The following is a 17,156-nucleotide window of genomic DNA, read 5'->3' as shown; positions in this document are numbered from 1 at the left end:
TTAGCATAGGCAACTCACAAAGTATGTCCTTCATTAATCATATGAAAAATATTTCTCAGGTTTGCTTTGCCAGATTCTGAATAGATATGAATACAGGTATATATAAACATAAAGTATTCAACTAGACAAAACTCAGCGAAGACAATACAGCCAAGATATAATTATCAAATTCTGATAAATACCCTCTAAAATATGTATGGTGGGTATATACGTATCCATGAGTAAAGAGTAAAAAATTATTTTAAGTTAATATTCTTTTAATAAATTGTGTAAAATCATTGTATTTATCTTCTAGTGCTACCATAAGAAAGTACCACAGATTTCATAGAAATTTATTTTCTTACAGTTCTGGAGGCTAATACTTTGAGATGTGGCTGTCAACAGGGCTGCATTCTTCTGAGGCCTCTTCCTTTGCCTTGTAAATGGTTGTATTCTCTCTATGCCTTACGTGGTCTTTCTCTATATGGTGTGTCCTTATTTTCTCTTCTTATTGACACCAGTTATATTGGAGTAGGTCCCACCTGAATCATTGACCTTTAACTTAATTACATCTTTAAGCTCTCCTTCTTCAAATGCAGTCACATTCTCAGGTATTGGGAATTTGGACTTTTACAAATAAATTTTGGAGGGATGCAGTTGAGCCAATGCTACTGAATTCACAAAGATGTTTCTCACTACCCAAGATGTTATTCCACTAAATGAGTTACTTTCTCCTTTGAGAAATATAGGTGTGACCCAAATTTACAAGACATTTTTCTCAAGTTTACTCTTACAAAGAGTTCATTGGAGGAGAAAAGTTTTCAACTGGAATATCAAATAAGAAAGAATTTGTCAGCATTCTTTTCTTATACTGCTTTTGAGAAAGTAACTAAGAAAGTAGAGCTTATTCTAATCTAATTTCAGTCATTTCAAAATAGTACTGTTTTTCTCTATTTTTCTGCTTTGCATTCTACTTTAATCTATGTAATCCTTATTTTAAAAAATGTGCCTGTAGCAGTTTAGTTAACAAAGGGAATAACAAGAGAAATTCCTTTTTTTTCATTTTGGCACAAATCAAGGTTGATTTTGCACAGCAATTAAAACTAGCGAATCATGTGATAGATAATACTGTAAAACCTAAAGCTGTTTACTTAGAATCAAATAAAGTGGCATAGCTTTGAGAGGAGAGGCTGAGGGAAAAGATACTCTCAATAATTGATAGTGGGATTTCCAATATTATCCTCCATTACATTTGTTGGAATATTATAAAGTTTTGGATAATTATAAAATTTGTTTTCTTCATTAATGGTGACACACCTTTGATTGTCCATGATTTTTGACCCATGTGGTTCCACTGCTAATGTTACATACAATATAGTTCTTTAATATGCAAGGCCTGCATTCAAAGAGATAGTTAATATAGAAAATACATGACTATCGAGGAGAAAACATATCAGAGAACAATGACATAAAGCTATGAAAATTATTTATGTATTTATTTATTGAACATTTGCTAGTGAACTCAGAAATGCAAATTAAAATTTACTGTCATTCCAATGTAAGTTAAGTATATATTCTGCTTTTTGATTACATATATGTTGTGATTTACATATTGCTAATCTTGTTGAAATATTAAATTCATATTAATGTTAATTAGATGTAGCAGCTTTCTTAAGGTATAATAGAAATATAAGAAATGGCATAATTTAAAATATTTTATTTGCTGTTTTGATATATGAATCAATAAAAAATCACTGTATGTAAGATTATGAAAGTATCAATCACTCCCAAAGTTTCCCTTGTATTATGAATAAGAAAATTCTGAACATTTTAAGGTTAGAATCTATCTAATGACATGTTTCCTACTTAAAGTTTTATGAGTATATTCATATATCTCCATAATGAATATTAGATGCTTTTTACACTGTAGAATTTGTAAAACAAAGAAAATATTATTCATTTTTTCTTTAAATTATGAGATATTTTTTCATAAAATTAATTTCTGTTATACTCTCACAAAATATGCTACTTCTGCTAGCATAGTGAATATATCCTATCAGATTTATAAAAAAATTATAGACATATGAAGTTAGATATTACACGAAGTTACATTTAAGAGGGAAGCTGAGTGTTTAGATCTCTTTCAACTTACCTTGTCCATTAGCACAGGAAACCCACAAGGTCAGAATGACATTGATTAGTAACAACATGTTAGATATTCTCAGTAGTATAGTAATGCAAAAGTTTCAGTTGCACTGTTTGGGGTTTGAAATCTTTCATTATTAGTTACCAAGTGTGATTCTGAATTTAAGTGCACTACCACAAAGCTAGGGCTTTAAGGTCACTTAGTAAATATCAAAGTTCAGAGAGTTTTGCAAAATGCTTCAATGATTCTTGTTAGTGGTTTCACAATCATCTCTGGAATTGATTCCCTGGTATGTACATGTACAGCTTTATTTAGTGACAGTAATGGACCAACTCCAAAAGTAACATAAAACATTAATTCATTTTTATTTCTTATTTTTTAAGTAAAGAGAGTTTTAATACAGGGAATGAAAGGCTTCTGCAACTATTGGAAGCATTGAGGGACAAAGGTCAGAAATGCTATTTCCAGAAAATTCTGAAGTTCAGGAATCTTAGTGATGCCCTCACTAATTATCCATGGTGCTGCAGTGGATGTTTCTCAGGAAAACTTCCAGAAGCAAGGAAAGCTACTGTTGGTGATCTCAGCTGCTACCAGCAGCTGCTGACAGATAATGCCTTGTCTTTCTCTTCTTCCAAGTCTTCTTTAAGTACATCTCATGGGGGAATCTAAGGAAGAAGCAAGTTATGGAGAAACAGGCTTCAGAAACTGTAGTTTCAGACTTATCTTCTGCAATGGAGAAGAAAATGAAGATAGGAGCCGTGTTGACATCACGTTGAAAATAAACATCTGGCACACTATTCTACTTCTGAAAATCCTGCTGTTTGAGCATGGTAGGTTGTTTTTTTTCCACAAATGGTCATAATACTATCTCCTATCACACACATACTCTTCTTACAACGAGAACACTAATTTTAAAATTAAAGACTGGAAAATTGTTTGAAGTTCTTCCACAAGCAGATGAATCATAAATGAATATCTCTCAGGGTCCATGTTACTTTAATATTCTATCGTCCTTTGCTTCCCAATACCCAACTTAATTATTTAAGGATCGTATGAAAACAAACCAGTATGTCTGGACCCCATTCCACTGTCTGTATTTTCATGTGTTTAGAGTAGCATACTGATTTTGATAACTCACAATGGATCATACTGAGTACAAAAGTTTCAGCATATTCTTGATATCTCAATCTTTTTAAACTTGTGTTTTGGGGTATGTATTATTTTAAGGTACAATAAGGAACAATGGAGATAACCATTAGGTCTGGCTGCCTGAGAGCTGGGAAGAACAGAGCCACATTTCTCTTCTTACAAAAGCAAATAGGAGAAATATCACTGAATTCTTTCTCTCAGCAAGGAACAGCCCTGAGAAAGAGAATGCATTACTAGGGGGAGATCTCTGAAATGGCTGCTCTGGGAATGTCTGTCTTATACGGTTGCAGATAAGGGATGAAATAAGCCCTGGTTTTGGGTAGTGCTCCCAGGCTTATTAGGACGAGGAAATCCCGCCCAGTAAATTTTAGTCAGACGGGTTGTTTGCTCTCAAACCCTGCCTCCTGATAAGATGTTATCAATGACAATGCATGCCTGAAAATTCATTAGCAATTTTAATTTTGTCCTGGTGCTCTGCCCCCATTTGCCTTGTGATATTTTATTGGCTTGTGAAGCATGTGATCTCTGTGACCCACACCCTATTCGTACATTCCCTCCCCTTTGAAAATCACTAATAAAAACTTGCTGGTTTTGCAGCTTGGGGGGCATCACGGAATCTGCCAACATGTGATGTCTCCCCTGGACACCCAGCTTTAAAATTTCTCTCTTTTGTACTCTTTCCCTTTATTTCTCAGACCAGCTGACACTTAGGGAAATAGAAAAGAACCTACATTGAATTGCCAGGGGCTGGTTTCCCCCGATAAGCCCCAAAATCTATTTTAAGAGCATTTTTCTTAATTCATTTATACTAAAGCATTTATGACAATGCTAGTAATAAAACAGGTCACTACAGGTGTATATTACATTTTAAAGAAAATCATAACAGAATTTTATACATTAAAAGTCCAGGCTAAATTGTAGTTGAGACATATGTAAAAAGGGAAAAAAAGGATTAAAAAGATGAATTCCTTTGTTATACAAGACATTTTCTCTTTCATAATAAGAAAATCTTAAAAGAATAATTAATAAAAATTTACTAAGATTTTTTTATGATGAGTAACATTTTTGTAAACTAGACCTCATATTAAGCATAGACATTTAAAAAAGAAATGAAAACAGTATGCATGAATATCCTAAATATTAACTTCACTTAATGTGAGTATATTAAACATTACTTCACTAATATTACTGAGAGGCAGGCAGATCACTGGAGGTCAGGAGTTCAAGACCAGCCTGGCTAACATGGCAAAACCCTGTCTCTACTAAAAATACAAAAATTAGGTGGGTGTAAGATGGCAGGTGCCTGTAATCCCAGCTATTCAGGAGGTTGAGGCAGGAGAATTGCTTGAACATGGAAGGCAGAAGTTGCAGTGAGCCAAGATCATGCCACTGTGCTCCATCCTGGACGATGACAGAGCAAGACTCTCTCTCTCTCTCTCTCTCTCCCTCTCTCTCTCTCTCTCTCTATATATATATATATATATGATATATATCATATATATATATCATATATATGATATATATCATATATATATCATATATATATGATATATATCATATATATCATATATATATAAATATAAATATATAATATATATATCTTTATATATATGATATATATATATATAAATATACATATATTACCGAGTGGCTTTGCAAAAAATAGCACAAACTGAGCCAACTGTTCCTAGAAAATCTTCATAAATATTTAGATAGTATGGTAGGGAAATCTTTCAATAGAGCAGAAATGGGTACCATCTAGAAATATTTTGTCTCTCTACTACCTATATATTTGCAAAAAATTTCTAAGGGGGAAGATATTCAGAATTGGACATATCCTACAGTGCCAAATCTACAAATTATAGAGTTTAAATTATTTTGATATTATGCACTATGCCTCCATATCTTCATTAAAAACATTACTTTTATATCTAGGAGAAAGACTTTGATATAGAAGGCTAATCACATAAAACAGGTATATACAACAGTTATAAAGGTCTCAGCTAAAAAGAAATAAGTTTAAACCAGAATACACATAAAGCTCCCTAACTCGTCTCTGTAACACAGAATGCTTTAGAGTGGGAAAAGCCTGAATGGAAAAGCACACTAATATTTGAGTAATTAATGTGAAAAGGAAAAAAAAATTGATGTCTGCTTTGTTCCTCAAAGTTTTTTTCTTATGTTTTCAAATGAAATTATATCAGCCCCCATAAAAAGACTAAAGTTAGTAAACTTTTGTGTATCATCTGGATAATCAATACAAACATAATAAATTACTAACGCATGTGGGTTGAGCTGACCATCCATTTTTCTGACATGTAATTGATCCTGATGTTTCACCATCTGCTGTTATATATCCTAGTTTGCATTGATATTTTGCTTGTTTATGTAAGTCATATATATACTGAGATTCAGAAATAAACCCATTCTCAATATCGATACTTGATTTGGAACATGTTTCTAAAAAGGAAGAGAATAAGAAAAAGACAAGCATATGTTCAATAACATTTTATAAGAATGTAAATAATATGCAAATATAAAAAATAATGAGTGATTTGTAACTGAAAACTTGGATAATCATAAGCATTCAGATACTTAAGTCAAAGAAAATAAGTTCTGAGTTGCCAAAGACATTACATCAAGACTCTCCATCATTTTCTAAAACAAGGCATTATTTAAGACTCTTACAATTATTTCTAAGAAATTATTGGAAATCTGTTGGTCTAATGGATTTGGAATTCTACAGCATGTCAGAACTCAATAGACAATGAGTATTATTTCTTAAGACTTTTTAATCTTGCCTATTTTAGATCTTTTAGGCAATTCCAAAACTCATTTAACCAATTGGAGTGTCTGAGATCCCGTGATGATCTTAGAAAATCTGCCAAAATAATTGTCATAGCCTTTGGCTCCAAGAATTTGAAATGCCATTCTTACTGTGTGCTTCAAAGTAAATGGACATGTGGAGTTCAAAGAAGATGAGAGACAGTAACAGATTTATTTATCTTGAAAGGCCAAAATGATGATTCCTCAAATTATGTAGTACTTAACTTGAAAGAGTGGACATTACTGTCTCTGTAAACTGATGATAGAAATTACTGTTGGTTCCTAGGTTGCCTCCCAGAAATCAGCTTCATTTATAAATAACTCATGGATAAGGAGAAAATTGGAAGAGGAAACATCAAATATTTTGAATTGAATGATAATAAAAACATATTAAATAAAACTTGGTGAGATGACACTCAAATAGTGCTTAGAGGGAAATTTATCATTACATAGCTATAAAAGAAAAGAGTAAAACTGAAAATAAATTATTATTTATAATAAATTATAACAAAGAAAGCAAACAAAATACAGCATGAGTATAAATTTTGAAACAAATTCAAATATAAGTAGAAATCAAATAGAAAACAAACAGTAGAGACAATTTAAAAAGGTAAAAGCTCAGGCAAGAATAATCAAGTAAAACAGAGTTCCAGCCACAAATAAGGAAATGGAACCAAATAGATGAAAATAACATTTTCAGACATTGGAAAGCAGGAAGCACCTAATTCCAGATAAAAAGTGACAATGAGATGAATTCCATCATCAAAGTGACTTTATGCTGGGAGAAAATTTCCAAACAGCCGCACGGAGAAGGAGAATTCAAGCAGAAAATGGCAGACTTGCTGAGTAGAAGAAACAAAACTCAATGTTCCCAAAGAAGATGAGGTCACTAGAATCTGCAGGAAAGAGAGTCAGAAAAGAAGAAACTATGGAGTGAAAGGGCTCTACAAATTTCCACAACAACTCCCTAGATTATTTGGATGAATATTGACACTCTGGAGAGTAGAGTAAAACTCCCCAAGAATGGACCAAGGATACCTATCAGATGAAGAACACTACCAGAGAACAAAAAGGTAAAGGATTCGCAGAGCACACACAACACAGGGAGACATTTAAATGGAATCAATCGGAGTAGAAAGACTCGTTTGAACATCTAGGTCATTTAGTAGAGACATCAGAAGCAGCTTAATATTCTGAACAAACTATCTCTGCGGTTTACCCAGAGGCTAGAACTGGGACACAGTTCTAGCCTCCCTAAACCAGCTTTTTAAAAGCTTAAAAATAAGCCTTGAAAGAACTAAGTTGACCCATAACAAACTTAGACTTAAAAAAAAAATTAAAACAAGTAATCCTTGGGGTCTCACAGATGTACAGACTTGAGAAGTTCCAAAGCTGCTTCTCTTAGCCAAAATACAGAGTGTAGTTAAAAAAAAAAAATCCACATTTTGGCAATAATACCCTCTTCACACCTTTGGGTATATACCCAATAATGGGATGGCTGGGTCAAATGGTATTTCTAGTTCTAGATCCCTGAGGAATCACCACACTGTCCTCCACAATTGTTGAACTAGTTTACAGTCCCACCAACAGTGTAAAAGTGTTTCTATTTCTCCACATCCTCTCCAGCACCTGTTATTTCCTGACTTTTTAAAGATCCCCATTCTAACTGGTGTGAGATGATATCTCATTGTGGTTTTGATTTGCATTTCTCTTACGGCTAGTGAAGATGAGCATTTTTTCATGTGTCTGTTGGCTGCATAAATGTCTTCTTTTGAGAAGTGTCTGTTCATATCCTTTGCCCACTTTTCGATGGGGTAGTTTTTCTCTTGTAAATTTGTTTGAGTTCTTTGTAGATTCTGGATATTAGCCCTTTGTCAGATGAGTAGATTGCAAAAATTTTCTCCCATTCTGTAGGTTGCCTGTTCAATCTGATTGTAGTTTCTTTTGCAGTGCAGAAGCTCTTTAGTTTAATTAGATCCCATTTGCCAATTTTGGCTTTTGTTGCCATTGCTTTTGGTGTTTTAGACATGAAGTCCTTGCCCATGCCTATGTCCTGAATGGTATCGCCTAGGTTTTCTTCTAGGGTTTTTATGGTTTTTAGGTCTAACATTTAAGTCTTTAATCCATCTTGAATTAATTTTTGTATAAGGTGTAAGGAAGGGATCCAGTTTCAGCTTTCTACATATGGCTAGCCAGTTTTCCAAGCACCATTTATTAAATAGGGAATCCTTCCCCCATTTCTTGTTTTTGTCAGGTTTGCCAAAGATCAGATAGTTGTAGATGTGTGGTATTATTTCTGAGGACTCTGTTCTGTTCCATTGGTCTGTATCTCTGTTTTGGTACCAGTACCATGCTGTTTTGGTTACTGTAGCATTGCAGTATAGTTTAAAGTCAGGTAGCGTGATGCCTCCAGCTTTGTTCTTTTGTCTTAGGATTGACTAGGAAATGCGGGATTTTTTTTGGTTCCATGTGAACTTTAAAGTAATTTTTTCCAATTCTGTGAAGAAAGTCATTGGTAGCTTGATGGGGATGGCATTGAATCTATAATTTACCTTGGGCATTATGGCCAAAATCAACAGAATATACATTCTCCTCAGCACCACACTGCACCTATTCCAAAATTGACCACATAGTTGGAAGTAAAGCACTCCTCAGCAAATGTAAAAGAACTGAAATTACAACAAACTGTCTCTCAGACCACAGTGCAATCAAACTAGAACTCAGGATTAAGAAACTCACTCAAAACCGCTCAACTACATGGAAACTGAACAACCTGCTCCTGAATGACTACTGGGTACATAATGAAATGAAGGCAGAAATAAAGACGTTCTTCGACACCAACGAGAACAAAGACACAATGTAGCAGAATCTCTGGGAGACATTTAAAGCAGTGGAGAGGGAAATTTATAGCACTAAATGCCCACAAGAGAAAGCAGGAAAGATCTAAAATTGACACCCTAACATCACAATTAAAAGAATTAGAGAAGCAATAGCAAACACATTCAAAAGCTAGGAGAAGGCAAGAAATAACTAAGATCAGAGCAGAACTGAAGGAGATAGAGACACAAAAAAACCCTTCAAAAAATCAATGAATCCAGGAGCTGGTTTTTTGAAAAGATCAAGAAAATTGATAGACCGCTAGCAAGACTAATAAAGAAGAAAAGAGAGAAGAATCAAATAGATGCAATAAAAAATGATAAAGGGGATATCACCACCAATCCCACAGAAATAGAAACTACCATCAGAGAATACTATAAACACCTCTACGCAAATAAACTAGAAAATCTAGAAGAAATGGATAAATTCCTCCACACATACACCCTCCCAAGACTAAACCAGGAAGAAATTGAGTGTCTTAATAGGCCAATAACAGGCTCTGAAATTGAGGCAATAATTAATAGCTTACCAACCAAAAAAAGTCCAGGACCAGACAGATTCACAGCCGAATTCTACCAGAGGTACAAGGAGGAGCTGGTACCATTCCTTCTGAAACTATTCCAATCAATAGAAAAAGAGGGAATCCTCCCTCACTCATTTTTTGAGGCTCGCATCATCCTGGTACCAAAGCCTGGCAGAGACACAACAAAAAAAGAGAATTTTAGACCAATATCCCTGATGAACATCCATGCAAAAATCCTCAATAAAATACTGGCAAACCGAATCCAGCAGCACATCAAAAAGCTTATCCACCATGATCAAGTGGGCTTCATCCCTGGGATGCAAGGCTGGTTCAACATACGCAAATCAATAAACGTAATCCATCATATAAACAGAACCAAAGACAAAAACCACATGATTATCTCATAGATGCAGAAAAGGCCTTTGACAAAATTCAACAACCCTTCATGCTAAAAACTCTCAATAAATTAGGTATTGATAGGACGTATCTAAAAATAGTAAGAGCTATTCATGACAAACCCACAGCCAATATCATACTGAATGGGCAAAAACTGGAAGCATTCCCTTTGAAAATCAGCACAAGACAGGAATGCCCTCTTTCACCACTCCTATTCAGCATAGTGTTGGAAGTTCTGGCCAGGGCAATCAGGCAGGAGAAAGAAATCAAGGGTATTCAATTAGGAAAAGAGGAAGTCAAATTGTCCCTGTTTGCAGATGATATGATTGTATATCTAGAAAACCCCATCGTCTCAGCCCAAAATCTCCTTAGGTTGATAAACAACTTCAGCAAAGTCTCAGGATACAAAATCAATGTGCAAAAATCACAAGCATTCTTATACACCAATAACAGACAGAGAGCCAAATCATGAGTGAACTCCCATTCACAATTGCTTCAAAGAGAATAAAATACCTAGGAATCCAACTTACAAGGGACGTGAAAGACCTCTTCAAGGAGAACTACAAACCACTGCTCAACAAAATAAAAGAGGACACAAACAAATGAAAGAACATTCCATGCTCTTGGATAGGAAGAATCAATATATTTTTATTTTTTTAACATCCTGGAAAATGTTTATTGCATATAGTTAATTTAAAACACATTATGTATATTTAATTTCAACAACGTAAAAATAAACATATTCATAGGAGAAAGAATGTAACAGCATAAGCCTAAATTCACAGTGTTGTATTTGGATGGTGTGATTTCTTTTTAAAATATCTCTCTACTGAAGCCTTCATTTCTGGTGATAGAGGCTGTTGTGGCAAGAGACAAGGGACACGTAAGAGTCCTCAATGAGTGCAAAGGACTGGATTAACTGCAATACCCAACACACACGGGCACTCAGGAGCTCCTACTCATGCCCACTGAGCACAAGCATTCTGAAAACCATGGTATCTTTTAAACATAATTATCAATATAAATCACAATTTATGATACTTGGATCAGGTGATCCAAGTTCTAGCTCAGTTTACTTTATACACTCTAAAACCACCCATTTTCAAGGTATAGTTTGATGTGTTTTAGGAAATGTATACAGCTGTGCCTCCAACACCCCAATCCAACTTCAGAACCCTTCCTTCACTTCACAGAGTTCCCTCATGTTGTTCTGCAGTCAATTCCAACTCCTATCCCAGCCCGCAAGCAATACTGATCTGCTTTGTATCTTTATCCATAGTCTTGCCTTTGCTATATGGTTCAATTAAAGAAAATCATACAACTTATAGTCTCTTATGTCTGGATTGTATGTTGCTGCATATACCAGAAATTCATTCCTTTCTAGTGTTGAGCAATATTCTATGAAGACACCACATTTTGTTTATCCATTCTCCAGCTCATGGGCATCTGGGTTGATACTGCATTTTGGCTATTATGTATAAGGCTGCTACATCCATTTGCATACAGATCTTCGCATGGACAAATGTCTTAATTTCTTGGGTACATACCAAGAAAAGCAGAATGGGTACATGCCACTCCAAGACCACTCCAAGACCTGGAGTGGAACTGCCAGGTCACACGGTAACTCCTTACCTAACTTGTTGAGAGACTGTCAAACTGTTTTCCAAGGCAGCTGCATTACTTTACATTCCCATCAACAATGTAAGAGGGCTCCGGTCTCTCTACATCGTCACTAACACTTATTATCTGTTTTTTGATATTAGCCATCTGATGCTGTACTGGTAGCTCATCGTGATTTTAATTGGCATTTCCCTAAATGTCCAATGATGTAGAGACTCTTTTAATTCCAGCTCATTCAGAAGGCAAAAACAGTAGTTGCCATACATGGAATGCCTGTAATCCACTAGGTGCTTTTCATATGAAATCTCACTTAACATCATAAGAACCCTGGGAGTTAGGTGGTTTATAAATGAGCAAACTAAAGTCTCAGAGAGGTGAATTAACTTACAAAGGTGACACAGGAGCAAGCTGAAAGTCGACATTTGACTTCAGGTCTGCTGGTTTCCAAAGTCTGTGTGCTTTCTGTGGCAATGTCTGGAAGATGAAGTTTCCTATGTCATCAGAATCCACAATCCTCCCATTGGAAAGTCTGCCACGTCGTGTACATGCAACTCCAAGAGCAGCCGGAGCAGCAGCACCGCCACCTTCGCAGGCTAGCGCCTCATGGGTCCTCCCATCCTCTACGGCGTGCCCCGGACAATCGGATCGCAGGTGCGGTTCGCTCCTTGGCCCCTAGCGCTGGGCGGGCGGGCTGGCTCAAGCGGGGAGCCAGCGAGCACTGGGGGACCCGGAGCGGAGCCGGCTGGAACCTGGGCGCGCCGCGCAGCTCTCGCAGCGCTCCGCTCCAGGCAGCCGCTAAACCAGCCTTTTAAAAGCTTAAAAATAAGCCTTGAAAGAATCAAGTTGACCCATGATAAACTTAGACTATTAAAACAAAATTTAAAACAAGTAATCCTTGGGGGCCACAGAGATGTACAGACTTCAGAAGTTCCAAAGCTGCTTCTCTTAGCTAAAATACAGAGTGGAGTTAAAAAAATAAATACATAAAATAACCCACCTTTTGGCAATAATTCCCTCTCCCCACCTGCCTCCAAAAAACACAGTAAATCTTTTATGGTATACTCACCCTACTCCAGCCAAACTCCCTACTCCAGCCAAACTACATATCAAAAGTTGTGGAATGACACTAGAGCAGTATGAAATAAATTGGTGTCACTAAATACCTGGGACAGAAAATGGCAGTGTTCCACTTCAGTAACCTTAGCCTCTACCATTAGATATTAGAAAAAGTAGAAAAAATTAATCTCAAAGTAAGCAGAAGAAATAATACAATAAAGATCAGAGATGAAATAATAAGTAAATATGTATATAAACAAGGAAACCAAAAGCTTGTTATTTTAGATCTCTATAATTGAGAAACCTTAGACAGACTGAATCAGAAAAAAAGATGACACAAATTGCTTATAACAGCAATGACAGAAATGACATCATTATGGTTTTTACATATATTAAAAGAAAAATAAAGAAATATTCTGAATAATGCCATGTCAATAAATTCAATAACTTGAATGAACTAGAAACTTACTAAAGCCACAAACTGTCACAGCTCACTGAAGAAGGATTAGGTAGCATTAATAAATAATATCTATTAAACAAATTGAATTTGTAGCTGAAGCATGAAAAACAAAATATTTAGTGATAAATCTAATAAAATACAGGATCTGTATGCTGAAAATCACACAAAAAAAACTAGTGTAAGAATGTATGATCTTACTAAATCAAAGGATATATAATGCTCATGGACTGAATTTTTTTTTTTTTTTTTTTGAGGCAGAGTCTCGCTCTGTCGCCCAGGGTGGAGTGCAGTGGCGCAATCTCGGCTCACTGCAAGCTCCGCCTCTCGGGTTCACGCCATTCTCCTGCCTCAGCCTCCCGAGTAGCTGGGACTACAGGCGCCCGCCACTACCCCTGGCTAATTTTTTGTATTTTTAGTAGAGATGGGGTTTCACCGAGTTAGCCAGAATGGTCTCGATCGATCTCCTGACCTCGTGATCCACCCGACTCAGCCTCCCAAAGTGCTAGGATTACAGGCGTGAGCCACCGCGGTCGGCCTGGACTGAACAATTTAATACTGTTACATGTCAGTTCTCCCCAGATTCATCTATGAGTGTGTCCCATTTCTAGTGAATAACCAAGCACAATGTTTTACACATATGGACATGCTGATTCTAAAGTCATACAGAAAGGCAAAGGGACTAAAATAGCTACACAATTCTTCAAAAGATAAGAGAAGTTGAAAAGCTCACATTACCAAATTTTAAGACTTAGAAAAAGCTACAGTGAGTAAAAGGATCTCCTGACACTGGTGAAAGGATAAACACACAGAAGAATAGAAGAGAAAATGGTGTCCAGAAATAGACTCACATGCATGGATCGATTTTGTAAATAGCTTCTATTCTATTTTGTTATAACACTATCAGGTTCACATGCCCACTGTCTAGCAATAGACCAATACACTGAGACAGTAGAGTTTGCAGCAAAGAAAAACTTTAATCAATGCAAGGGCACCAAACAAGGAAATGGGAGGATTCTCAAGCCCCAAATCTGTTCTGTGAAGGGGTTCTGGGCAAGGGACTTTAAGGGGATCATGGAGGGTGAGGGGCTAGAAAATTTGGGTTGTCAATTGGTCAGGGTAAGGGGGATGAAATCACCGGGATGTGGGATGTGGAACCTGCATTATTTCCTGAGTCAGCTTTTTGCTGGGCTCTTTAGACCAGCTGATGTGTGTATGTGTGTGTGTGTGTGTGTGTATGTATATTTGTTTTTTGTTTTTGAGACATGGTCTTGCTCTGTTGCCCAACTGGATTTCAGTAGCGTGACCTCACTGCAGTAGCGTGACCTCAGCTCACTGCAACTTCTGCCTCCCAGGCTCAAGTGGTCCTCCCACCTCAGATCTCCTGAGCAGCTGGTACTACAGACCTGTGCCATGATGCCTGACCTAATTTCTTTAATTTTTTGTGAAAATGTGGTTTTGCCTTGTTGACGAGTATGTTGATAGGTTTTTTGGTATGCCGAACCTAAAGGAGAAACTCATGCAGAAAGATTATAGTCTCACAATGTCTTAGATTTTATCTGTAGAAAAGAAAAGGACCAAAAGGTCTTGTGACAAGGGCTACATTATCCTAGGGTGGTAGTAATCCATGACCAGCTACAAAGACGTAGGACAAAGGGAAAGCTGGCCTAATGATTACTGCTGCTTGTCCTGAAAGCGTAGATGAATTTTCCCCCCTTAATCAATTTTATGTAATTTTCTTAGGGACAGTTTCAGTTCCTCCCAGGCTTGATCCCTTCTTAATCTTGAGGTGTAACAGCTAATATGGTGGGAAACAGGCAATGACGACTCTAGCTTCTTTTTGCTGATAAGGGGCACAGTCAGAGAATGAGTCGGGATTAGAGGAATGAAACCGTATTGTAACAACCTGCAAGTCGTTACACCCAGCTGAAGGTGCTGCATGAACATGTTAGTACTTCAGTCTATGGTTTTATTGTAATATTTAATTGAATAGCAGCCTATGATGTAAACTGTAAGCCCTATAAACAGAATTGTGAGCTTGAACTTTAAGAGCCCTTGGAAAATGGACTGGAAAACGTGGAGTATCGAGGGGAAAAGCTCAAAAAACTAGTCAGACTTAGGGTCTGTGGTATAGACATATGGTCTCCAGCGAGACTGCTGAAATATTTTCTTTAGCTTGGTTTTTATTTTACCAGAAGCATTGATATAAGTATAACAGGTGGTATTGATCACTGTACAGACTCCCCTCAGTAAAGCCAAGAGAAAATCAAGTGTAGCTCCATTGTTAAGAACTATCTGGGTAAGTAAATGTAAAGAGTTTTCTCAGCCTTAATGTTCTTAGCAGCCTCTTTTGCAATTATTTCTAAAGTTGCCGGTAAGTTTCTGATCATGGCCCAGTTAGTGTATACTTCATAGCTAGGAATTGTGATGCCCAAGAAGGCCCTGTCACCGGATATATTGATATATGCCTGGCAGTGGCTTTTGGAGTCCGTGGGAAAATGGGCAGAATCTTTAGTCATTAGGATGGACTGACCAGTGTCCCAATAAGTAAGAGCCCTCAATATACAGGTTATTGAGACACCAGTGAGCTTGTCCTAACAGAGGATGTTCTGATCCTGTGTCACAAATAAACATTTGCCAAGGGGACACACAAGTGAAGCCCTCAAAGATGCATGTATTGATGGTTTTTTTCATGGGGAATATAGGCAAATGGAATTGAACTGTGGATCCTTTTCTACAGGCTCCCCAAAATTTGTGTGATATTCCCCACTGTAAATATTTTTGGTGCAGCAAAGAGAAACTTTTAATTTTATTTCCCTTCTCCTGGCTGCATTTGTCTACCCATTATGCCATGGGCCGTGGAGGGCCTATGTTATGGAATGACTTTCCATTTATGATATATAGAGAGAGATTGAGATGTGGGGTGGTGATTTCTTGGTGTACTACCAGTTGGACCTGGAAATTAGCCATGGAAAGAAGCTGTTGCAGATAGGTAGTCGTATTTGGGACAGAAAGTCAGTGACAAGTATGACTAACAGAACATGCTTATTTTGAATCGTTTGAGGGAGTTACTGACAGATCCATCATTCTGGTAGGTTTCTTCCAGTGGCAATACCTTGAAGCAGTTTAACTACAGTGTTGTTATCCCTGTCTAGGCATTGCAGTAAAAGGAAATTTATTAGAAGTTTTAAAACAAGAGTGACCATTTCTAAATTTTAGAATGTCCAAATAATGGGAGGCAGGAGACTAAGTCAGCATGGTATAGGATGCCTGGAAAATCTGTAAGTCTAGCAATTGTAATGACCAAGGCAATTGTGAAGTAAAATCTATAAGTGTAGCAATTGTAATGACCAAGGCAATTATAATGACCAGGTAAATCTATGGGTTAAGCATTCAGTAAGGCACGGAATAGACAGGAAGGTATCTCACCTTTTTATGTAAAATAATTATAACAAAAATTCCTATTATGCTCAAAGTAACTATTGTAGTTGTCAAGAGGACATGTGTTTTGTCTAATTTTCTTTAAGTTTGTTATTTATATGATATTTTTCTTCAAAAGATATTTGAGGCCCATCAAAGATGTACTTATCCATTCAGATAGGGTTGGCCTTTCTACATTTCTTGATAGCACTAGAGTCTGGCGGGGTGGGTTTTATATGGCTGTGGTGAATCCAGGGTCTAAGTCCTTCACCCGAACAGAGGAATGAGTCACCAGTCATGCATTGTATGGCCTCTTTCACTGTGTTTTCAAGTGGTCCTCAGGATGTTGACTTTTCCTGGTCTTGAGCAGAATCCAGTCTCTTGGTTGGATGCGACGCAAGAGAATGTCAGTTGGATACCACAATCTGCTGGAACCACAAACTCATAAATAGTAATTAAAGTGTGACCTAAAGATTGTATATATTTGATAATATCTAATTTCTTTATGTGTATATTATTGGCATTCCTTAGTCTGAGAAGAGAACAGAATAATCTCCCATATAAAATTTATAAAGGGCTTATTTAAGCCCACTTTTAGGGACCACCCTTACTCTGAGCAGGGAGAAGGACAGAATTTTATTCCAGGTTGTTAGTTTCTTGGCAAATCTTAGCAAAAGTTTGTTTTGTTTTTTATAGTATGATTTAAC

At 36.6% G+C, this 17,156-nt stretch overlaps 1 protein-coding gene and 1 pseudogene across 8 annotated transcripts in view; both read right to left on the bottom strand.

Moving 5' to 3' along the window:
* Positions 1 to 2,288, bottom strand: part of CFHR4 (complement factor H related 4) — a 30,582-nt gene extending 28,294 nt beyond the window's left edge. For all 8 annotated transcript variants that reach the window (NM_001201550.3, XM_047440640.1, NM_006684.5 and 5 more), the window contains exon 1: positions 2,132 to 2,288. In NM_001201550.3, the coding sequence (NP_001188479.1) occupies positions 2,132 to 2,189 (58 nt within the window). In that variant the 5' untranslated portion in view covers positions 2,190 to 2,288. The remainder of the gene's footprint in view (positions 1 to 2,131) is intronic.
* LOC100996886 (complement factor H-related protein 3-like) overlaps positions 5,263 to 17,156 on the bottom strand; it is a 34,873-nt pseudogene continuing 22,979 nt past the window's right edge.

The sequence above is a fragment of the Homo sapiens genome, chromosome 1, assembly GCF_000001405.40.
Source record: "Homo sapiens chromosome 1, GRCh38.p14 Primary Assembly".
Taxonomy (NCBI): Eukaryota; Metazoa; Chordata; class Mammalia; order Primates; family Hominidae; genus Homo; species Homo sapiens.
The sequence above is the reverse complement of the archived record's forward strand: the minus strand, read 5'-3'. Positions and strand labels throughout refer to the sequence as shown.